The sequence below is a fragment of the Homo sapiens genome, chromosome 5, assembly GCF_000001405.40.
Source record: "Homo sapiens chromosome 5, GRCh38.p14 Primary Assembly".
NCBI classification, from domain to species: Eukaryota; Metazoa; Chordata; class Mammalia; order Primates; family Hominidae; genus Homo; species Homo sapiens.
The window spans coordinates 52688617-52713228 of record NC_000005.10 but is presented as its reverse complement, the minus strand read 5'-3'; the positions used below and the strand labels follow the sequence as shown (position 1 = coordinate 52713228).

At 37.6% G+C, this 24612-nt stretch overlaps 1 long non-coding RNA gene across 9 annotated transcripts in view; it reads left to right on the top strand.

Annotated features, from left to right (window-relative positions):
* Window positions 1–24612, top strand: part of PELO-AS1 (PELO antisense RNA 1) — a 127387-nt gene that overhangs the window by 87585 nt on the left and 15190 nt on the right. The window contains exon 4 of one of the 9 annotated variants that reach the window (NR_186453.1): window positions 23146–23285. The exons of 5 other annotated variants lie outside the window; for them this stretch is intronic. This is a non-coding gene — a long non-coding RNA (PELO antisense RNA 1). Of the gene's footprint in view, window positions 1–2984; window positions 3082–13236; window positions 13444–21519; window positions 23286–24612 lie in introns of all 9 variants that reach the window. 3 more of the 9 variants (NR_186450.1, NR_186451.1, NR_186448.1) reach the window with 3 other exon arrangements.

Sequence of the window (24612 nt, the reverse complement as noted above, 5' to 3'; positions counted from 1 at the left end):
AGCACCTGTTGTTTCCTGACTTTTTAATGATCGCCATTCTAACTGCTGTGAGATGGTATCTCATTGTGGTTTTGATTTGCATTTCTCTGATGACCAGTGATGATGAGCATTTTTTCATGTGTCTGTTGGCTGCATAGATGTCTTCTTTTGAAAAGTGTCTGTTCGTATCCTTTGTCCACTTTTTGATGGGGTTGTTTGTAGTTTTCTTGTAAATTTGCTTAAGTTCTTTGTAGATTCTGGATATAAGGCCTTTGCCAGATGGGTAGGTTGCAAAAATTTTCTCTCATTTTGTAGGTTATTTTCTTAAGTGATTTTGTAACTTAGAGTTTTAAAGTCCAATAAGTTACCATTAAGTACTATATCAGTATGCATGCTTTTCAAAGTGGGTAACAGAAACATGAGGTTCACAGTAAAACAATATATTATTAAAAACTCAAACTAACATGAGAATAAAACTAGGAAATATAAAATTTCCTACTTGTGAAATAGTATGTGTTAAATTCGTAAATTGCAAATACCACAGGACTATTATTTACTTTTCCCCAGTAGAAAGGGCACCCACCCTTTACTTAGAACAATGTGGTGTGGATTCTTAATATTTCTAAGCACTATGTATCATACACAGAAATAAAACAAAGCTGATTATATTTAAGTACTCTTTTGGTGTTAATCCCTTTGAACTTTTGAAGTACAGGTTTCACTTTGAAGCTTACGATGTTCAAGTCATCAGTTACAAAGCACAGAGAAGACTATTATATAACAACCATGAGAAGACATTATTTCCTATATTGTATCACTAGCCATGTTTTTAATTATGTCTGTCTTCCATTAGCAGTGCCTAATATCCTTTTCAATTAGCAATTTGAATATGCTAATCTAAAATTGACTAATGTAAGTTTTACAATGTTAAATATGTATATATCAAATATATATATTCATTTACATACACACATATATTTTTCTTGTATTTGGTAATGCTTTCCTACCATTGCATTTGGCAGTGGAGGGAGCTTTGGCTGGGATTTAGAGGACCTTGGTTATAGTTCATACTTTATCACCTATCAGCTATGTGACTGAGTACTTTTCTTAACACCTAGAATGACCAAATATGCCTTTAAGTTGACAGTGGTTCTTAATCGCTCTTTTGGTTATTGGCCCTTTTATGAGTCTAATGAAAGCTATAAATTCTCTCTCCAGAAAAAATATTAGGAATATATATTTACACGAATTTTGCATGCCTTTGAGGAGAGTTATAGACTTCCTGAAGTATATATGGATCTAAGGGTAAGAATGACTGGACAGAAAAAATTTTTGAACTTTGTATTTCTATATGATAGAATTTCCAAAATCATTTCAGAACCATGAATATTATTCAATTATTTGTGCTAACTCAGACCTTCCCTTTTAGTGTCTTTAGATAATTTCAGGTTTGTTTCCTCCTGACACCAAACCTCTGGCCTGGCTTCTTATATACAATCTTGTTGCTGGAGCATAGTGCATAGTGTGCCAAAAGAAAATCATGTGTGAATCCAGCATATCTCTTGATCTTCTGAGAAAATAGAGCACTGGCCCAAGTTTACCAAGAAGCTAGAAAACCCGGCTTAATAGCACCTTCCACAAAATGGATTTGGGGATTTTATGTGTCCACACACTTGCTCTGATCCAACAGCATGACATCATTTCTAGAAATATCTATCCAAGACCACATAGTCTTTAAAGAGGTTAAAATATCAAATCCTGCATAGAGGAATTCCAGGCCATAGACCAGGTCATGACATTCTTTGAGTTTGGGGTCATGTCCTGTGGATCATAATTCAAAAGGTCACTCAGAGTAATAAATTTGGCGGACATAGGCAAAATAAAAAAGGATCTGGAAAATTTTGCTGTATGAGTAATGGTCATAGGAACCAGGAATGTTTCATCAGAGGAAGAGAACTGTAGGTTGTCTTCAAATATCCCACAAACATGATAAAGACGGTGCAGCCATATTACTCTGGGCCCTGCAAGTCAGAACTAAGCCAGTGGCTAGATTTAATTCAGTATGAGGAAGGATGTTCTAATAATGCATACTGTGCATATATGAGACAGACTTCCTTGTAAAGGGGTGGGAGTCAACTGAAAGAGATGAAGCAGAGGTTGCATACATGGCTGCCTTATACAGGGAAATTATAAAAGGTATCCAGTTTATACATGGGAGTGAGTAGAATAGTGGTTGGTGTGAGCAGCCTAGATAAAATCTAAAAGAAATTTGTTTTGTCTGTGAAAATCTATAACTCTAGATTTATTTTTTGAAAAAGGGGCACGGTTCTTGGGAAAGGTAGTTGCTAGAAAGAATATGATCTTTTCTGAAGCTGTTAAGGGCACCAGGAAACAGGTGTTCTGCTTGGTCACTGATCCCAGATTTTATGTCAGTCTGGCAGTTGAGGGGATAAAGATAAGGCTGTCACTCACTGTGACTGTTAGTAGATTACATAGTAAAATACTTGCATTACAGAATAAAATATGCTATTGTAAATATAGCTTGGCCAAATACTGACACTGTCTTGATTGGAAATAACAGAAGTATGTCATACACAAAATGTATATTTCATTTAATCTTCACTACTAGGGAGTCAGTGATAACATCCTCATTCCATTTCATAGGTGAGAAAACACAGGTGCTGACAAGCTAACATAGCAAGTAGTAGTGGAGCTGGAACTTAAATTCAACAGGCTGAGTTTATAGGTCATGCAGTTAATAATCAATCATACCATACCACTTCCTCAAACAAATTTGTTCATGAAAGAGGTCCACCGTGTTATATACACTTTCTCAGGTTAATGGATGGTATTCAATACAGACACAACAATTTCCAGTATAAGATTATTTATGAGTCATTAAACAGTATTTACTGAGCACTATTAGAGATGAGGAACTAATCTAGATGCTGGGGATTCAGCAATGAACAATACTGACACAGAAATCTGTCCTGCTTATATTCTAGCCGGGCGATACAGTAAAGAAAAGGAAGGACATTTTGTATAGCCTGTAAGAGAGCAACAAATATTAAGAAGAAAAAATGAAATGCAACAGGAAAAGGGGTAAGGAAATACTGGAAGAGCATCTTTAAATGGGGATGGTAGGAGGGGTCCCATGGAAAGATCTTTGAGAGGCGGAGGTCCTTTGATCCCAGTGAATTTGAATTTTCCATCTGCTCTGCATGGACATTCTTGGGGAGTCTTGGAGAAACCCTAAGAGCAGTACACATTGCTACCTTACCTTATAATACATATTTAATGGATTATGTAAAACTTGAAAATAAAAATGAAGAGTGCAATGCTCAGTCCTGGAATTATGTGTGGGTCCGTGAGGCCAAGGTTCCCGGCTGTTTTTCAGCTAAACAGTGCGTGGGAAGGACAAGTGATCTGCTTCCGGACAGTCCAGTAGGAGGAAATGAACATTTCAGCCCAGCTCGTTGGTGTCTTCCAGGAAAGCACCAGTGATCTCTTGAACAAATAGCATGCCTTGTTCTAAAGTTTGTTGTGAAGTTTACCCAAAGGGAAGATCTGACAGGATGTCTAGTGTTTTACTAACTACCTCCATTAGTCATTGTTGCTGCTAGGTCAAGCAATGTGGGTTTTGTGGGAAACCTCTAAAGCTTTGAAGGGGCCTGCGCTTCTTTGTTCTTTTTCTTTACATGTATGTGACTTTGGGCCAGAAAATTTATTTCTGTCCCTTAAATATCTTTTTATTCCTGATCTGTTGAATGAAAGACACAGGAACCTATTGGACAGTAAGATCTATTACCTAAATTGGTAAACTCTGAGCTTCTTGAGGGTAGGAATTATGGCTTATTCATATTTGAATCTAACTCAGAAGCTATAACCATGACTTGCATGTTGTAGTTGTGCAATACATGTCTGTTACAAGCTGAATAAATGTGATTTTTCCATGTGGCTACTTTAGGAATAATGGACACACAAAAAGGATACCATGGAAAGTATTCTCATATGTGCACAGTATGCATCCTTAGCCCAAGAAAGTATAAGCCCATCAACTACAACTTTTATTTTAAAATAGGCAAGAAAATCTAATATGCCAGATCATCTTTCACTGAATTTGAGAGTAGAATAAAAATAAGTAACCAAATAGCAAGCAATAAAGTTTACTTCTATTACTGTTTTGATTCTTAGTATTCATTTTTACTTCAGACAAAAACTTTTCCTTTACATAATAGGCATAATTATTAGCAGAAAATTATATTTAGGGAGGAAGTTAACACCTGCAAACCCAAACCACAAAATGTTTGGTGGGCTTTACAAATAAATAATTTTGTTCACCTCTCTTAGTGAGCCATTTGCCCCCATATTTTGCAGTTTTTCTTTTCTTATTTTTAATGTGCAAAAGTTAGTAAATGTTGGAAACAAAAACGTGAAGGCTCACTTATGTTTTGCTTTTTAAAATGGGAAAATGAGAATGGAAATTAAAGAGCAGTGGATCACTGTTTTGTCTGCCCTGGTTCCTCTGAAACTTCCTGTAATTTTTTTTTTCCCAAGTACTGAGTGAAGAGTTATGTCTGACACTCTGGAGAAAAATGTTACTAACATAGGGATGACACTGAAATACTCAGGCAACAGTTATCTGAGTGTATTTGTCATTTTAAGTAGAATCTGGCAGTAATTCATCTATATCTACAACAAAAATGTGCAGGTTTTGGGAAGAAGTGAGCTTTTAAAAAAAGTCATATTTCCTTTTGTCTCTGAAAGACTGAATGTTTTCAGTACTACGGCTAATAAAATTAGTTTGTGGCATTTCTCCACTTTCTTATAGAAATAGCCACACTTACCTACTCTGACCAATCCTAAATGTCTTTTCTGTGTTTATTTATTTCTAGCATTGGGGTTAAGGTAGGAATACAGTAGACAAAAGTAACTTTATTTGATTGCAAAATGAAGTTTCAGATGGAAAAACTCTAAAAAACAACAACAAAAAAGAAATTTATGCTCAATAGTTTCAATTGTCCTTGGGGAAAAGTCAATTATCTGCATATATTATATAACCTTTTTACGATCTGGCCCTGCTGACCTGTCAGGCTTGCTCCTTGATGCTTCAATGACATTGAAGTGCTGACAGTTCTCTGAAATTCTTCCACCTTGCCTGACTCCTCCGTCTTTTTTACCTGGCCAATTCGCATGCATTTTTCAGGTCTTAATGAGATGTCACAATCTCTGGACAGCCTCCCCTGATTCCCCAAGCCTGGGGTAAACTTCGTGTACCACCAAAGCATCCTGTAACCTCTGTCATATCACATTATTCATAAGTTCTATGGAGGCAGAGGGTGTATGGTCTGCACTTCACCCAGCCACATTTAGCCCAGTACTTAGGATTCAGTAAGGCCAAAGCAAACACACATTAAGTAAAGAACAAAAACTTGAAGTGCAAACAACTCTAGTCACTGAATTGATAAATAGTGTCTCTTGCTGTACTATAAGCTCTATCAGTGGAGGAACCGTGTCTGTTTTTCTCACCATTTTATCCTCTGTGTTTATCACAGTGCTTTACACATAGGAGCTGCTCAGTAAAGAGGGGTTTAATGAGTGAATTAATTGACCATAGTTATATCAGTGTCTTTAAGATAAATACTAGGAAAGAATAGTTATTTAAAATTTAAACGAAGTCACCTTGTGTCCATTTTTCCCAGGTGTGACAGACTGGTTATTTACTACAAACTTTCTTTTACATTTGATTTGTTACATGACTTCAGTTAGATCAGATTTTCTCAAGCTTGGGACTGATGACATATGGACTGGATGATTTTTTGGTGTGCATGTGTATTTATGTATGTTTGGGGGGTGTAGGCTGTTGAGCAGCATCCCTCGCTTCTACTAATTAGATACCAATAGCACATCCTTCATACACAGCTGTGACAAATGGAAATCTCTCCAGACTTTATATGTATTTGAGAACCATAGAGGATGCATGTTTGTGTAGAGGGATTTGTTGAGCAATTCATATTTGTGTCAAGAGATAGCTTATTAGGTTAAGGATAGCAATTTTTGTTTTTAAGAGAAAAAAATCTCTGTACAGCCTTGTATGGTCAATATACCTGACAGCAATAACTTAAGCACAGCCTGAGAATGACCCTGTATGGCAGATGCACCTGAATGAGGGTTTAGCGTTCCGAGCTAAGGAATCTGTGAGTAGCCAACCTGGAGAGTCATTCCTTACCAATTAGAAACATCTGAGCCCCTCTCCCCCACCCCAGCCCATCGCATGGAATGAGAGCCATGCAGGGGATTGAGGCCCTTTGTTTTGAGTTTAATGAACGTTGCCAGGTGGAGGTTGTTGGGGGAGGGTGCTCAGTGAAGGTGCTGTATAAACTGCATGCTTTTTTCAAGCGGTTGCAGTTCTCCTGTCCATCACACTGCCACTGGACTGCCCCTCTATGTAAGTTTCAGGCTAGTAAAACCCTGTGTATCCTTTGCTGTTTCTGAGTCTCTTTTTTGGACTCTTGAACCTGGTGCCATCCCTACTGAAGTTAATAGGAGTCTGGCACAATAAGGGTCTGGGCTGTGTGTAAAAAGCAGAGCTTGTGCTATGATTGTGTAGTTGAGTCCAAAAGCAGAGTCAGGGGATAGGTGAGGGTGGGATTCTGCAGCCCGAGCCACCCCCCAGGTCACCTGCCCTCAAATGCCAATGCCTTTATCTGGAGGAAGGGCATCGTTTCTCCAATGTATCTTTCCCAGTGGAGGTATCCGTTCTATTTCATCCCTTCAACACTAGCAGTGGCCTTGGTTAGAATTATTGTACTTATCATTTTGCCAAGTTTTTGTTGTTGTACCTTTATGATTGCTAATGGTGAAACCTGGTTCCACTCTTCCACAGCCTCCATTCAAAGGAAACTTTATGACGTGGTATTTTTGATAGAATTAAAGAAATCTCTGACTAGCCAAATAAGAAAAGAGATTAGCATACTTAGCTATGTGCTCTGTATCAGCTTGGGTCCCTGGGTCATAGATATGTGAGTTACATGATTTACTTTGAGTAAGGCTCAGATTTTTTAAATCTAAGCTAACCTATTTTTATTGAATTAAGTTTATAGGTCAGGAAATCTTGATTGGCTTTCTGGGATGCAATCTTCTTAGCTTCTCACAGGACTTAGAGAATGCAACTATGAAGACCCCTACAATTTGCTTTTGAAAAAATATTCAGGTTCATTTGCTTTTGAGAAAGGCTTGTGAACTATTTAGACCTTTACAGCATGAACACAAAGTTGAAAATAACACAAGGGAGGAAATCCTCATGAGGTTTCTGGTACTTCCTGCCATGGTCAGGCCATAAATAACATGAAAGAATCATGCCTTTGGTATTTGAGCACTTCCATGTTCAGTGGTAAAGACAACTGGAAGTGCAGAGGTGTGAGAAAAATGTAGAATTTCCATAATGAGCATGAACTGGAATTATGGTTTGGGATTTGTGTAAACTCTGGACTTTGCCATTAAGACCCAAATTTTTGTTCCACTGAGAACTTCTCCTCCAGCCTTTGCTAGTTGCTCTGTCATGTGAATCGATGGAAATATAAATTATTTAATTGAAGCTTGTAATGCGTGTACACAGACTTAAAGTTTCTCTGAAGCCTATCTCAAAAATATATGGCAGTACTGACCATTTTTATACGAATATTTAAAAAGTAGTATTGATATAACAAAAGGGTGGTATTGATCTAGAAAAGGATGTTATTGGTAGTTGTTCCAAAAAAAAACTCAACTAGATGCACCTATATATACCTAACAAAGCAATACCAAATGCCAGTGCTATTGCAGGTCTAAGAAAACTAACAAGGAAATAATTGTTCAGATTTTTTCATTGAGTTGTCTAACATAAGTTTAAGTCGACTCATTTCTGGCTACGATAACATTTTAACATTGGTCCCAGTTCCTGAGCCTAGGAAAGAATAGCAGGTCTTTGTGCCTTAATGAATATCATGCCTAGAGCTGACTACTAATGCAAATCTATTATTAGAGGTTGAAGTGAGCCAATTGATATGATCTTAGTGATCAGAAAATAATTGTGGAATTAGTGTCAAAAAATGTGTGTGTGTGACTTTAATATTTATGTCTGAACTTGTATCCAAGGCATTGATAGAAACCCGTGAAAGGTAACTGATACAGTCAACGTCTTTCCCTTTCAAGCCCCCATCGTTTTCCTTACCAGATACTCTCCTTTCTCCTGAGCTTCTATCCTGTGAAAAGTCCTATTTAAGGGTACCTATTATAATTCTGCCCAAAGTATCTGCAGATAAGACTTTATGCCCCTAATATTAGAGACACTGGACTCTAGGAAGCCTTTTCCTAGAAGGCAAAGTGGTGAGTTTGGTGTTGTGAACCAGCAAATGAAGAGTCAGGAGGTCGGCCTGGACCCCTATAAATCAGATGGCAGAGGCCATCTCATGAGATGGGCCTTGCCCCTTGGAACTCTTTTTAAGTCAAATATCTAAATATTTGCATGCCTTCCCAAGTTACTTCTGTTAATTTTTACATTTTTACAAAAAGAAAATTAGCCAAAACAATACTAAAAATAGCCACTGGCCTATTGGCCTACATAAGTGATAATTGGTGGTATTTATGTGGGAAAAAGAGACCCTTTCTACCCTTTATTCCTAACAGAAAGAAATTAATTTGCAAGCTCTATACAAAAGCAAATACCTATTAAGGAGAGAAAAGCAAGAAGGTAATATATCACTTGGCACATATTTTGCTTAATTATTATATGCTTTTTTCTTTCTGTATCTGTCTCATTTTAGTGAAGAAAACAATTTGGTGGTAGCTTGCTTTGAAATAGGTCCCACAGCTTTTTGTTGTTTTCTTCCAACTCCCCTTTGCTTCAGTTAGTTTCACTCAGCAGCTTATTATCACTTAAACTATCTTCTGGTCAACTATTTATCGTTATTAACCTTGCTTTTCCAGAGTTATATTGTCCAGTATGATGGAGCAGGTACATCTGTGAATGTGTTGAACCACAGTTTCCAAAGCCTTTCTACATAGAGTATTAACCTATAGTTACATGAGATCAAATGATTAAGATGGAAACAGACCTCCTCAGATGTTCAAAATTATCATTGGTGTAGTCTTTTGATGATCAGTAGTTGAAAAAAAAATAACCCAAACCTCAGCCCATTGCAAATGTCAAGTAATAATTGTGGCAGAATACAAGCACCTGAATTCCGAGCACAAAGGAAGAAGCGTGTTGCCGATAGCATTATAAATGGCCATTCTCTACTTCAGCTGTCGACCGTGTAGCATATAATCACAGTGTATGCTCCAGTTCTGAAGCAGTCGCAACTTACCTGAAAAGTGTAGCTTTCTGACATTTTTCAAGATAAAAGAATAACAAGCAAAAATGAACATGAAAATATAAATTCATTTACTTTTAAGAATACTGTATGTTTTTGTATGTGACTAAATTAACATACTCAGAAGTATTTTTTTAAAACTCCCTTCCCCAGTATGTATTTTTTAATGTGTTTGGAAAATATAACACATGGTAATAATTTTAGAAGTTTGGCCACTTTAGCCCCTTACTTGACAGTCTGTCTCAGGCAGTTTGTGGAATGCCTTCTTTCACAGTTCCTCCATGACTTTCTCCTTGAGGGACCCAGTCATACATTAGGCAAAGGTGGAGAAGGAGGTTCCTTCTACCTTTAGTTATTTGCCACATTGATTAACTTTGGTGCCACAAATCCCTGTCATTAGGTAATCAGTAACAAGATACAATGATAATTTTAGAATAAAATACATGAATTCCATTTGAGTCACTTCTTTGGGTTAAGGTTATAAGAAGGCATTGTTAAAACACACATGTCTTACCCAGGCTGGATAAGCCATTGACACATTTGAATCCATTATAAAGATGGTTTGGGTGATTTTCTGATTGCTATCATGAAAAGCAGAAAAAAGGAACTAGAGGGCCTTGAATAAAATTCAGTACATTTTGTTATGAGATGAGAAGTAGTAGGAAGAAGGGAAAAGCTGCATTGTGAAGTGAGAGCCTTTGTGGGTTGTCTGAGAGAAAACCGGGAGCCCTGAACATGGAGAGGTTCACACTGAGTTGTTGGGAGAGGGCAGTGACATACTGAAGTCAGCTTATGACTGTGGTGTTTTTTGTAGAGCTGGCAGAGAAAGACAGGAAACTATTTTTACGCAACTAGCCAGTTTTAGCTGTGTTAATGGAAGAACTCTGTTTTTACTGTAATAATTAACAACAAAAATGACTTACATTATCTAACCTTTTAAAATTCATAAGATAGACTCAAAGTACCCTGAAGTGAATGTAGCCATGACTGTGGAAGGTAGTATTACACCCCACATTGGAGAATAAAATGAGGAATAAAGCAAGTTTAACAGTCCAAGTTTTATTAGCTAGGGGAAAAAATTGGCTTCTTATTTTTAAGTGTTCTTATATATTAAATTTTAAATTATTGTTAAGTAAAGCAAGTAGGAGAAGTACAGAATCCCACTGTGTAGAGGAAACTACTATTAATACATTAGTTGCATCTTTCTAGTTCTTTGAAAAATATTTTTTAAAAAATATTAAGTATGTATTTGGTATACATTTTTGGCCATGCATTTTAATCTATTATTATAACTTCTTTTTCCCATTTAACAACAATTTTTTTGTGTGTGTATACGAATTTTTTTGTTTGTTTGTTTGTTTTAAATCTCCTGCTAGTCACACCATTGGTGAGGGATGAATCCAGGTTATGGGATGGCTGAATACATGGCACCCAACCTGGACAGATGAGATTGGTAGCAGTTTACTGGTGTCCTAAACTCGGAGCCCAGGGTAGGAGGACACTGTGCCATGCAGGGCCACATGAAGGTTACAATCAAGAACGGTATAAGTAATAGGAACTGTGGGAGATGGACTTTGTAGTATTAAGAGGGAAGGTGTCCCCTGGTTCCCACAGGAGGATGTCATTGGCTTGCTTGTTTGAATAATTTTCTGCGGCTGGTGGGAAACTGAAAAGTTACTCAAGGCTAGGCAGAAACAACACCCAGCCTCCTCCCATCTTGATAAAGAGATTTAATAAGATAAAGAGATTGATAAAGAGGTTTGGATCTGGAACCTTATCACTGGAGGCAGAGTGGGGAGGATGACTTGTGGTTATGACATTTGAAGCCTTCCTGATTTCACCAGACATCAAGGTAGACATAATATTGGACCTTAATTTTAGACTTTACACCACATTTTTATGAAGATGTAATCTATCAATAAATTGAATTTTTGCAGGCATTGATAACATAATGTTCCAATTCTTATCTTTGGGTAAAAAGATTTATATGGTTTTAATATTAATATTTTCATATTCAATATTAGGGCCTCAAGAGAAAATATTGTCAAGAGAAATGAATTGTTTTATCTCTTGATACATATTTTCAAATGATGTTGAAACAAAATTTCTGACATTTAAGTTTAAACCTTTTTACTATACTATATTGCTTCTGCCAATGATTGTGACAATGAAATAATCTTAAAGAAACTACCTTTTCATTAAATCACTGTCCATAAAGTTTATGTGACAGCTTACTTTGTGATTATATTGGAATATAAGTGCTTTGATTCACCAGGTTGGGGTTGGCAGAGTGAAAATTAAGGCCAAACTTTACTCAACAAGAATGACATTTTAGTGAAACACTAGTACAATTCTTGAGAGAAAATAAATCAGAAGTTTCAGTCAAATCTCAACATAAATACAGGCCAAATCTCTTTTAAAATAAATTCTTGTTTACCTGAAACTGATCTCTTCTTAAATATTAATAACTAATAGTTTTATTTCAATTTATATTTCCTTGGAATTATACATATTGAATTTCAAAAGGGAAGGAAAAGTATGTTCTTAAACTCCAAAATATGAATAGATATATTATATATTAATACATACTTGAATTTACTTAAATTATTGAATATCATATATGCAAAATACAATTTAAGGCTTAGCTTTGAATATTGTAATAAAAACATATCAAAATAACTTTAAAAGAATTAGCAAAGCCATGTTAGCTCAGTAAAAATAAAATAAAGATTGAAAAAATATACAATGGCATTGTTGTAATGAAAAAGCTAAGTTAAATTCTTGTGATTATAAAAAAACATTTGCTTTTATTTAGTTTAAATCATTTAAATATGTACAGTCTATGAGAAAAGGAAGTACATACATTAAAAATAGCACTTAGTCTACTCCCAATGGAACTGAGTTATTTACATGATTATATTTCAATAATAATAATCATGTTAACATAATGCTTCCCATTCATTTTTTTAATGCTAAGTTAAACCCAACTGATGCTGATGAATACAGTACATTTAGTAAAAAGACTGAATTTAAGAATATTTTAAATTTAAAGTAGCTTTTACTTTTAAATAAAATGACTCTTCAGATATGATTGGGCTTTCAGTAACTTTAATACTTGAGACAAAACTTTTGGAAAGTACAAATAAATAAGTTAAATGTAGCAACAAATTTAAAAGTTACAGGTTTCATATTCTAATCCCAGGGATGAAACTTCAGGCTCTTAGGCCACATTCTACTGATTCAGAATTGAATGTTAAAGGAAACATAACAACTGAATATAATAGGTTGTCCAATAAATAATAGTATAGAACAACACATTAGAAGGTCTGTTATCTTGAAGTATGAGAATTGTTTTTCTCTGGGTTTGTTTATTTTTGAGTGTGGAGATCTTAAATCTGGGGTCTCCATCAGCAGGGGGAAACAGTTTTACACCCTTTTTGCATTCTTTATTGTTAAAGTATAAAACTTGATCTTCCAAATTATGGCCTTGCATTGTCAGAAAATAATTTTGAATTATTTTAAAAATATACTCTACAACTTGTAAATAAGACTTGTGAACATGCTACAAATAATTTTATTAAATGTCTATCATATTAAAGATCCATCCACTTTTATAATGGTACTTTTTACTTATCTGAAAAATTCACATGTACTAAATAGTTTATTCCCACATGATGTTTGAAAAATGACTTTTGCCCTTATATTATGCATATTGTAAATATAGTTATAATATGGGTTTCAATATAATTATGTAATACATAAAATAATTTATAACTGTAATACATGTAAAAGGCTTGTTATGACATTTATTCCAAGTTTTATATTCAGTGAGAAACATTAATATGTCCCCTCAAACTTCATATGTTGAAGCCCTAGCTGTCACTGTGTCTATACTTTGATATAGAGCCTTTAAAGATGTAATTCTCATTAAATGAAGTCATGAAGATGGCAACTGATATCATAGGATTAGAAGAAGACACCAGAGAGCTCCTTCTCCCTCTGTGTCATGTGAGCACACACCAAGAAGGCAGACATCTGTAAGCCAGGAAGGGCCCTCATCAGAACTTGACCCTTCTGGCACTTGGATCTTGGACTTGCAGCCTCCAAAACTGTAAGAAAATAAATTTTTATAGTTTGAACCACTCAGTCTATGGTATTTTATGATGGAAGCCCAAACTGACTAAGACAATGCACATTAATTAGAAGTATCGTAGGTTTTTTTTTTTTTTTTTCTTTTCAGAGATGGAGCCTTGCTCTGTCGCCCAGGCTGGACTGCAGTGGCGCTATCTCAGCTTACTGCAAACTCCACCTCCCAGGTTCAAGCCATTCTCCTGCCTCAGCCTCCCAAGGAGCTGGGATTACAGGCATGTGCCACCACGCTTGGCTAATTTTTTGTATTCTTAGTAAAGATGGGGTTTCACCATATTGGCCAGGCTGGCCTCAAACTCTGGACCTCGTGATCCACCCGCCTTGGCCTCCCAAAATGCTGGGATTACAGGCGTGAGCCACCACACCCTGCCCATGTTGTAGGTTTTTAATTCAGTGGTGTTCAGATTAATTGGGTCATTCTTTTAATCATTATGAATGATACACATAAGTTTTCATAGTCTTTTTTCCATGATTTGTCCTGTTAATGTCTTCCTGAGGCTTTAGGATAAAGTCTCACTCTCAGGAAATATATAGTTTATAGAAATTTGTTTATTTGTTGAACTCATACCACTGGCTAGGTCATAGCTATAGGGCAGTGATTGTTATAGAATATATCTGAAAATATTCTTTCTCAGGCTCTTTAAAGCTTGCCTATCTTAAACACAGCTGAATGGTCCCATAACAAATTTATGTAATTCCATCATTGTTACTATAGCCACAGTAACAGGTTCCCACACATATGAAACCAGGGAGTTAGCTATAGGCTGCCGTCTAGCCCATTTGTTTTTTCTTTTTATTTTTATTTTTATTATTATTATACTTTAAGTTTTAGAGTACATGTGCACAATGTGCAGGTTAGTTACATATGTATACATGTGCCATGCTGGTGTGCTGCACCCATTAACTCGTCATTCAGCATTAGGTATATCTCCTAATGCTATCCCTCCCCCCTCTCCCCACCCCACAACAGTCCCCAGAGTGTGATGTTCCCCTTCCTGTGTCCATGTGTTCTCATTGTTCAATTCCCATCTATGAGTGAGAACATGCGGTGTTTGGTTTTGTGTCCTTGCGATAGTTTACTGAGAATGATGATTTCCAATTTCATCCATGTCCCTACAAAGGACATGAACTCATCATTTTTTATGGCTGCATAGTATTCCATGGTGTATATGTGCCACATACGTGTGCATGTGTCTTTATAGCAGCATGATTTATAGTCCTTTGGGTATATACCCAGTAATGGGATGGCTGGGTCAAATGGTATTTCTAGTTCTAAATCCCTGAGGAATCGCCACACTGACTTCCACAAGGGTTGAACTAGTTTACAGTCCCACCAACAGTGTAAAAGTGTTCCTATTTCTCCACATCCTCTCCAGCACCTGTTGTTTCCTGACTTTTTAATGATCGCCATTCTAACTGCTGTGAGATGGTATCTCATTGTGGTTTTGATTTGCATTTCTCTGATGGTCAGTGATGATGAGCATTTTTTCATGTGTCTTTTGGCTGCATAAATGTCTTCTTTTGAGAAGGGTCTGTTCATATCCTTTGCCCACTTTTTGATGGGGTTGTTTGTTTTTTTCTTGTAAATTTGTTTGAGTTCATTGTAGATTCTGGATATTAGCTCTTTGTCAGATGAGTAGATTGCGAAAATTTTCTCCCATTTTGTAGGTTGCCTGTTCACTCTGATGGTAGTTTCTTTTGCTGTGCAGAAGCTCTTTAGTTTAATTAGATCCCATTTGTCAATGTTGGCTTTTGTTGCCATTGCTTTTGATGTTTTAGACATGAAGTCCTTGCCCATGCCTATGTCCTGAATGGTAATGCCTAGGTTTTCTTCTAGGGTTTTTATGGTTTTAGGTCTAACATGTAAGTCTTTAATCCATCTTGAATTAATTTTTGTATAAGGTGCAAGGAAGGGATCCAGTTTCAGCTTTCTACATATGGCTAGCCAGTTTTCCCAGCACCATTTATTAAATAGGGAATCCTTTCCACATTGCTTGTTTTTCTCAGGTTTGTCAAAGATCAGATAGTTGTAGATATGCGGCGTTATTTCTGAGGGCTCTGTTCTGTTCCATTGATCTATATCTCTGTTTGGTACCAGTACCATGCTGTTTTGGTTACTGTAGCTTTGTAGTGTAGTTTGAAGTCAGGTAGCATGATGCCTCCAGCTTTGTTCTTTTGGCTCAGGATTGACTTGGTGATGTGGGCTCTTTTTTGGTTCCATATGAACTTTAAAGTAGTTTTTTCCAATTCTGTGAAGAAAGTCATTGGTAGCTTGATGGGGATGGCATTGAATCTATAAATTACCTTGGGCAGTATGGCCATTTTCACGATATTGATTCTTCCTACCCATGAGCATGGAATGTTCTTCCATTTGTTTGTATCCTCTTTTATTTAATTGAGCAGTGGTTTGTAGTTCTCCTTGAGGAGGTCCTTCATGTCCCTTGTAAGTTGGATTCCTAGGTATTTTATTCTCTTTGAAGCAATTGTGAATGGGAGTTCACTCATGATTTGGCTCTCTGTTTGTCTGTTATTGGTGTATAAGAATGGATACAAATGCCAGAGTGCAAAAAGCACAGGATGTATGCAGACACAGTGATGGGCCTTGTCTACTTGCTTTCTTGGAGTGCACACTTCTCAATTTTGAGCAGAATCTTGACATGTTCCACTACTGCCTCTTTTGTAGTAAATGTGTGGTTTCCAAAATAGGTCTCTTTGACAAGGAGACATGATATACTAAGAGCCCTGTGGGCCAGAAATGGAAAGCCTTCAGTTCTTCTTTATGTTACACTGCTAACAAGGTCTGTGTCCTTGGGTGAGGTGTACAGACTGTTTAGGCCTTAGTACCCTCATTCATAAGTAAACATATTGAATTAGATCAGTTATTTTCAAGCAAGTCTCTATGGAGATGGAGAGGATGGGGTGGGCTTACCATGTGAGACTCTGTTGTCTCTCTTTCATTCTTCAAGCCTGGAAACACTGTTTTTATCCCTTATTGTGTCTTTAGCATAAAGGGCTCTCTTATTTTGTTTAGGTTTTTCACTGACTGGACTTGATGACATTGAATGTATTTTTTTTATTTGTAATCAATTCTATTTTTATATTATGACCACAGCTTAACTGATGCCAACCTTCCCATCAATATTTATTTTAGCTGAAATATCATTGTCCAAATTAAAACAAGTTATTGCATACTCTTTAAAGATTCTATTGTGTGTCCAGCTCTGTGCTTTATTACTTAGTATTTGGGACTAAAATAAAATAGGTGGCATTTTCACTACATTCAACTATGTTGATGTTATGATTTCCCAACTGAAATTTTTCCCTTGACACCTTGGAATTTCCTGTTCAGAGATCTTTTACAGCTCCTCTCTACTGTCCACAATTCTGGCACCACATAGACATCGAGAATATATTTAGTATTATGTACGCTAGGAGCAATGCATTTTATAAAATTTCTGGGGACAAGTAAGCCTGGGTAGATTAATTCATCTCTGGTTCTTAGAGGTTATATTTGATAAGTGTTATCCAAAATTTCCCAAGAACAACTTAAATTGAACATAGTGAAGATTTATAATCTTGAAGAATTTCGAGAACATTGCCAGAACTAGGACCTATTTGAGCAGCTGTCAGCTATCCAAAGGCATTACCTTAAAGATAATCTGCTTTTAGGCTGTGTATATGGCATGCATGCTTCAGTCCTCTAAAGAAAGGGAAAAAGACCGAAACAAAAAGAGCACAATTCAAAAGATCTTTAAGTTATTAATAGAATAGTTTAAACAGATTATTTAAAAACAGTTACCTGAAAGGTTAACGTCTCACTGACTTTATGAGAAAGAGAATTGAAGATGTTACTTTACAAGCTATGATGGAAACCGAATTTTGCAGAAACAACAGTGGATACAGACACAGATATCAGTGGTCTGAGGAAGGTTGCAAACTACATTAAGAAGCTGAGAAAACGGGAAAAGATGGCTAAATTAGAAACAAGAAGATTAATGGGCCAAATAGCATTAGGCAGGCTGATGATGCTGCTTTCTTTAAAATGGTGAATATGAGCTCATTGCTATCTAAATGTCAGTCACTCTGGCACCTCACAAATTTATACCTGGCATCTCCTTGGTGAATGGGTGGGTTGGCAAAAAGAGGAAGGCACCAGGATTAAGTTAAACTCCCCCCAGGAGACTCTGCTATATATATGAAAAGGAGGCCAAGTGTTACCTGTTACTGGGATTTTCCAGCCGTCATCAGGCTAGAATTGTGGGAAAAATGAGAAATGAAAAGAAGCAGAGCTGCTGCATAAAATGCGGCCAGGGTTGTGATATTAGGAGACATCTGAGAGGGACACAGTGGATCACGGCTTCCAGCCTATTCCAAAATCAATAAAAGAGAAAGCATTTAGAATAGGGACTTACAGATTTAAAAAGAAAAAAGGAAGCCAGTAGAGGTTGGAGGAGTAAAGGATGATGCGAAACAGCACTGAGAAAGGAGATGAAGGAAGGTGAAATGAAAAAGGAACCTGCAAATCTTCTTCGAGAACATTTTGCCTCATCAAGCAGTCATAAATTTGTGTCTTTTAATATGTTCTGTCTGGTTATCTTTATCAATTTTACTTTATTACAGCCTTTCTGGTAGTTATTGCATCCACCTCGGCGAATGAGGGCTGAAAAGTGTTCCACATGAAATATTCATTGGGTTTATAGCTTTAACCTTTAAAGTAAAAGCCGAAGTAAAAAACTTGAATAAAAAGAGTTTTAGTGTCCATTTTATGTCTGTGAGAGCCTAGTGAAAGGAGAAAGGGAGAGGAAGCTAACAGGGAGGAACGGTATGGAAAAATCTTGAAGCAAAGACAACTTTTAAATGGCAAGTCTAAGGATATGGGGGAAAAAAAGTGAAAGAGACAAAAGAATCTGAAGAATTGAAAATTGTTAGGATGAAGCCAAGATGTGACTTCAGCGGTCCAGTGTGGGAAATTGCTGTTAAAGGAAATGGAGAGTTTCAAGGACTTTTGTCTGAGTTGGGGAGAGTAGCCCCTTGGCTTCATTCCCCAGGAAGCATGGCAGTTATGAGAAGAACCTGGCAAGGAAGGCCTCAAGAAGGGCAGGATTCACTTGAATTAGCAGGATAATTATAGTAAAGTAGAAGATGCCTCCGTGGAGTATCTGCTCTGTACCACACACTTCACATAAGTTACTTAGTTTACTTCTCACAAACAGGCATCGTTTACCCCATTCTACAAATATGGAAACCAAGACTTTTAAGTGACTTGTCCAGGGTAATAATGTCAAGCAGAGAAATTGAGATACATCTCTCTTCAGAGCCCAGGTTGCTGCTCCCCACCTAACCTCCCAATGGAATCTTCCACTGTTTGACATGTAAAGCAGTTGGCAGTGACCACCCTCCCCTCACACCACTCCCCTGCTGCCAGTTTTGAATTAGAAGCAAGCAAAGTGCTCCAGAAAAAGGCACTCTAAGTGGGTTACATAAAATGCAATAAGCAAGCTACAGCCTAGTATCTATCAGTTCAAGAAGAAAGAAAATGCCAAGGCAAAAGTGAACTTTTTTCTGAGGTCATTTAGGCTTTGACACAATGGGTTACTCTAAACAGTAGTTCTCAGCATTTTCAACCTTGGCTTCACATTGGAAATCCTGGGGAGCTTTAAAAAAATCCTCATGCCTGGGTTCTACCCTAGAGACTCTGAATTTACTGGTCTGGGAATGTTTTCCTTCGGAAGTTTTCATTGGAACTCCCCCAGGTGCTTATAATATGTGGCAAATTCAAGAACCATTGCTCTACAAGTTGAATCAAATAATGAGGCATGTCCACTCCAGCCTCCAAACAAATGGCATTCATCTTTGCATCCCCCTGTTAGTCTAGTGTCTCATGTACAATAGATGCTTAATTATGCTATGCATAATAGATGCTTAATAAATGTTTGGAGAATTAACTTGATGAACAGCAGAAGACATATATGTATAGCTCTGGTCTTTTGTTATCTGGGTATCCCCTTCGTGCCTTCAAATCTTCAATATTCATGGGTAAGTTTTATGTGTCTTTCTAGCACAAATAAGCCTCAGCAGAGCTGGGTAGCCATAACTTTCTCAGTCAAAAGATATTTGTGTTGTTTCATCTGTTGTTAGTGTACTCCTTTTGTGTACAACACTGATGCTAAAAACACTATGGGATTCCCCAAAAATCTTCTCTGCTTCCCTGTGGAAAGCACCACACCTCAGTCAAATACTAATTCCTTCAGGGAAGCTGACCTCTGGTGGCCAGACAGGCAGCACAGTGTGGCTGTTAAGAGCATGGACCTGAAATCAAGACATCTTGAATTCAAACCTAAGCTCTGTTGTTTATTGCATACCTGTGTAACTCAATTTCCTCATTTGTACCATAACTTGAGAGGGGACTCATACCTACTTTACAGCAATGTGGTGAGGTTCAAATGAGTTTGTGTATGTGAAGAACCTGGTACCTGGTTAGTGCCATAAAATTGTGTACCACTATTACAGGGAGAATGCTTTTATTAAAATGAATTTCTGAAATTGTCTATAAGCATCAACAATTTAGAAGAGAACATTTTTTAGCAGATGTTAACTACCTGGTAGAATTTACAGGAATATGCTACAGAGGTTTTCAGGTGTTGCTCAGAAGGGGCATGGGATGGGCGGTAGGGATGGCTTTGGTGCCACTATTTGCTCTTTGCCTGGTCTAGTGTACATTGAAGCCAGTGAGGTTTCACTGTACTCAATATATGGCCAAGATCCATGTGAATAAAACACACAATGTCTTATTATGATATCAGGAGTAATACAAAAGGCTGGACATGTTATTCATTCTTTGGTCACTTGTTTCTTCTGTTATTCTCTTGCTTCCAAACAGAATAGGCAGCAAGGGCAGTAGACACAGCTTGTGCAGAAAAGTTGGTTGATTGTGCAACGGTTTTGAAGATCCTTACATTTCAGCTCTATTTCCTCAGGCAAGAGGATGAGTTGGGCTTTTAAAGGAGGAAGAATGGGAACAGACACATGTGTGCAAAGTATGTCAGGTGTGAAATCTATAATTCAGAAAAGCATCTAGGTTTGACTTCACAAAAACTTACTTGAATAGGAGAAAAGGATAATAAAAGCCAGGTTGCTGAAAGGTAATCTAAGGGGATAGAAATTATTTATAAGTGATATTGAACTTTAAAAGTTATACAACAAACCTTAATCTAAACAGCAAGTTACCTCTAATTGGGGTCCTGTTAGAAATCAGAATGAAACCATGTAAAGCTAATGTCTCACTTTATTTGGACTCTCAAGGAGATAATACATCAAATGATAGAATCTGAGGGTTGAGGATAGTTTATTTTGTGTTTCCAAGTGTGATTTTTCTGGATTTCAAAATGACTGCCTTGATATTTATTTTTTCTCCTGGGAAAGAAGGGAAAAAGCCTCTACTGCATTCCCACTGTCTAGAATATTAGCTGTTAAAATTCCTATTGGCTGACCTCATGAAAGAGGACACTGCATTTGACCAGCTCAGCTTTTATTCCCCCTTTCTCACTGTAGATGTTACTGTACAACACACTGAATATTGGATCAGTCTTTGAGAAGCACTGTAACATGACCTGCACAAAGAGACAAGTAATTCTATACTATTTTCTTCCAAGCTCAAGTTGGCACAGATAAAATTCCTGTGCATTAATTTATAATTAAAACTTGTGCCTTTCTAGAAAATGCCTCATCTCTGCTTGGCTTAAAAAAAAAAAATCAATCTGCTGTTTTTCCAAAAAAGTAGAGATAATTTAACATGTCATTTTTCATGCAATTAGTTTATTGGCTACTTTACAAGAACCAAACAAGTCTAAGAAAATCAGTCATTGTAGTTTGTGTTCATGAGTGACAACCTGGTGCTTGGGAGAGCCTAGAGCATGATTAAGGGCTTAGGAGAGAAAACCAAAGGTTTTTCTTTGTTAAAGAAACAAATAGACAACTTCTCTTTGCACCTCTAACTGACTTAAAATTGCTAATTGTTTTCGTCTGTGTGTTTTTGTAGACCACACTCAGGATTCAGCTGCGTCCTTCTGAATGTGAAAAGGAAGACCTGACACAAAGGGATACAAAATATCAATACCTTCCATTCTCCCTGTGTCTCAGTCCCCTGAATCACCAAGGGGCGATTAGATTCGAGATGGCTTGAAATATGTTGACTGAGACACTAATGTGGAATTAGTAGGCCTGGAAAAGAAGAAATAGATCTGCAGAAAAACATGCAATTCTGGATTAGTAAGCAGCTTAGAAATATTTATTCAGTGCTTACTAGTCACAAACAGAAGCTATATGTAACTGGAGTGGAAACTTCGCACATTTCCAGCAAGTGGACAGGATTTAACTTAGTGACCCCAGTCTGCAGAGGGCAGCTGACCTCAATATTTAATCATAGCTCACTGGACACAACAATGAAATTCTAAGTAGTAAAAGAGGTACAACCAAAAAATGAAAAGAGCTTACTCACCTACATGAAGGCTGAGAAAATTCTTCCAGCTCATAGCTCAGGGAAGAAAGGTGTTTTGTCACATGCATTTTGAAAAGGGTACTGCATTTGGGACACTCCCAAATTCTGAAGTTTCTGGCTTTACACGAATGTCTGTGGTCACACTTAGTTTCAGGAAAAGTTAACACAACTGAAATGTAGGTTATAAAGTCTGTATTTTAGCAGAAGTTTTGAAAGACTTCTGCTAAAGGAGACTTCATACAGGAATACCTAAAGAATCTTCTTCAGTATTTTTTTTCTTTTCCATCAACAAGCAAGGATGGCCGATTATCTCCAATCCTGGGCTGTGGCATTAGATATGGCTCCTCAGAAGCTTAGGACCTCAGCACCTTTCTTTTTGTCTAAATCCCTGGAAGCTTTTAATAATTTTGTCTTGTCCTAGCATTGCTCAGGCAACTAACTCCAGCTGAGCAGAAGAAGAAGAACATTTAAGCATAACCTCTGTAAGGAAGTTTATAGTAGACCACCCAGAGCTCGGAGCAGCCTGCCCCCTACCTTTTTCCTGAGAAATATAGGAAGATTTATAGGACTAGACATTCAGCTTATAAATAGGAAATTCACTTTGGGAATTCCCTTGAGATAAGCCAGGAATGTATTTGTCAGCCAACATAGAAGCACTTCAGCTTTTGCCTTCGAATACCTCAAGAACAGTAAAAATTAACCCTGAGGAAAAGAGCACTTGTTAGTCTTGCAAAATCCTTTCTCCCCTGTAGAAGTATCCCTAGCAGGACCCTAGGACTGATTGTGGGTGTGGTCACTTCCCCAGAGATAACAGCTCCTTCACAGAAAGGAAATGTAAGACCTCAGGTCCTTGGGAATGCTAATTCTCCTGAAATCAGGTTGATGGGTGTGCTCCCTTCCCTGGGAGGCAGTTTTGAAATTGGCAAGGCATTTTGTTTGTCTTAGTGATGGGAGGTGTGGTACAGACACAAATTCTTTGCTACTTTTTCCATTGAAAGATGAGGCCAGCCTGGGGCAGAGGGTCATGGCTGTAATCCCAGCACTTTGGGAGGCCGAAGAGGGAGGATCACTTGAGCCCAGGAATTAGACAACAGCCTGCGCAACGTGGTGAAACCTTGTCTCTACTAAAAATACAAAAAATTAACCAGGCTGTGCCTATTGTCCCAGCTACTCGGGAGGCTGAGTTGGGAAGAACATCTGAACCCAGGAAATCGAGGCTGCAGTGAGCCACGATCACACCATGCCACGGCACTCCAGCCTGGGCAACAGGATGAGACCTTGTCTCACACACACACACAAAAAGAAAGGTGAGCCCTATTTCTCTCCTTTGAATCTGGGTGAGCCTTACAAGTGCTTGACAGAACAGATATTGTACTGGTTTCTGGGCCTCGGTCTTATAAGACTACTGGCTTTCCCTTCTTTCTTGGAGCACTCACTTGGGGAACCCTGATTCGACATACATGGGGTCTGGCGAGACCAGTGGGAAGACTCGGAGAATGTATGGGAAGAGAGGCCCAAAGGAGCTCAGTTTCTGGCTGTCCTTGCCAAGGTTATAGGTATGTGAAGGAACCACTAACATTTGGGGTTGGTTTGCTATCTGGCAAAGATAACGCGCCCACATTTTGGTACTCAACACCTGGTGATACTGTAATAAAAACCTAAAATTCATGGATTATTGGTTTTATGACAAGGCAGTGAGTAGAAACTGGAAAGGCCCCAAGAAGGCTATTTGTTAAAATGGAAGGGACTTTTAGGAGGCTGTTGATGAGGGATTCAAGGACAGTGGAGAAAATGTTATTGGAAGCTGGAGACAGATGTCTGTTGTGATGGTAGTGGCAGAACGTTTAGTGAAGTTGTTGTTTGCAGTCATGGCAAGTAAAAATTGTATCTAATAAACTGGTGGATCACATAAAGTGTTGATGTGGGATGTCAAAAGTGCCTATTGTTTATTTTAGCTGTATATGAAAGATAGGGAAAAGAGCCATATGAGAGAAATAGAACTGTTAAAACTTTGAGGGGAATTTAAAGGATATGTAGAGGATTCAGGACAGTCAGTTTTTTTTTTTTTTTAAGAAAGGTATTTCTCATCCTAGTCTCTTCCAACAAAATATTATCAAAGTAAGAAATGGTTTCAAGGCACTGATCTAATCTATGGCCTCTGAGGCCTTAACAATGGTACTTACAGCTACAAGGTACTGGCCAGTTCAGCTGTGTGCTTTTCCTGGCTTACAGATGGCCCTCTTTTGGCTATGTCCTCACATGGTGGAGATGGAGGAGACACAGAGAATGAGATCTCTCTCATGTCTCTTCTTATAAAGGCGCTAGTGGCATGATGAGGGATTCACCCTCATGACCTAATTGTCTAACAAAGGCCCATTTCCAAATACATATCACTTTAGGGGTTAGGGCTTCAACATCCTAATTTCACAGGGGACACAATTCAGTCCATAGTACACTAGCAATATGTGTTCAATGGATTTCAGAATTGCTATGAACCAGTGACTGCAGTGTGCCTTCTATTCTCTCCTTTCAGATTGGTAATATCTTGACGTTATCTTACCTCTGTCCCAACATCATATGATAGGTGTGGGTGACGGGCAGATTTCACATAGAGAGGAATAGTACTCGGAAAGC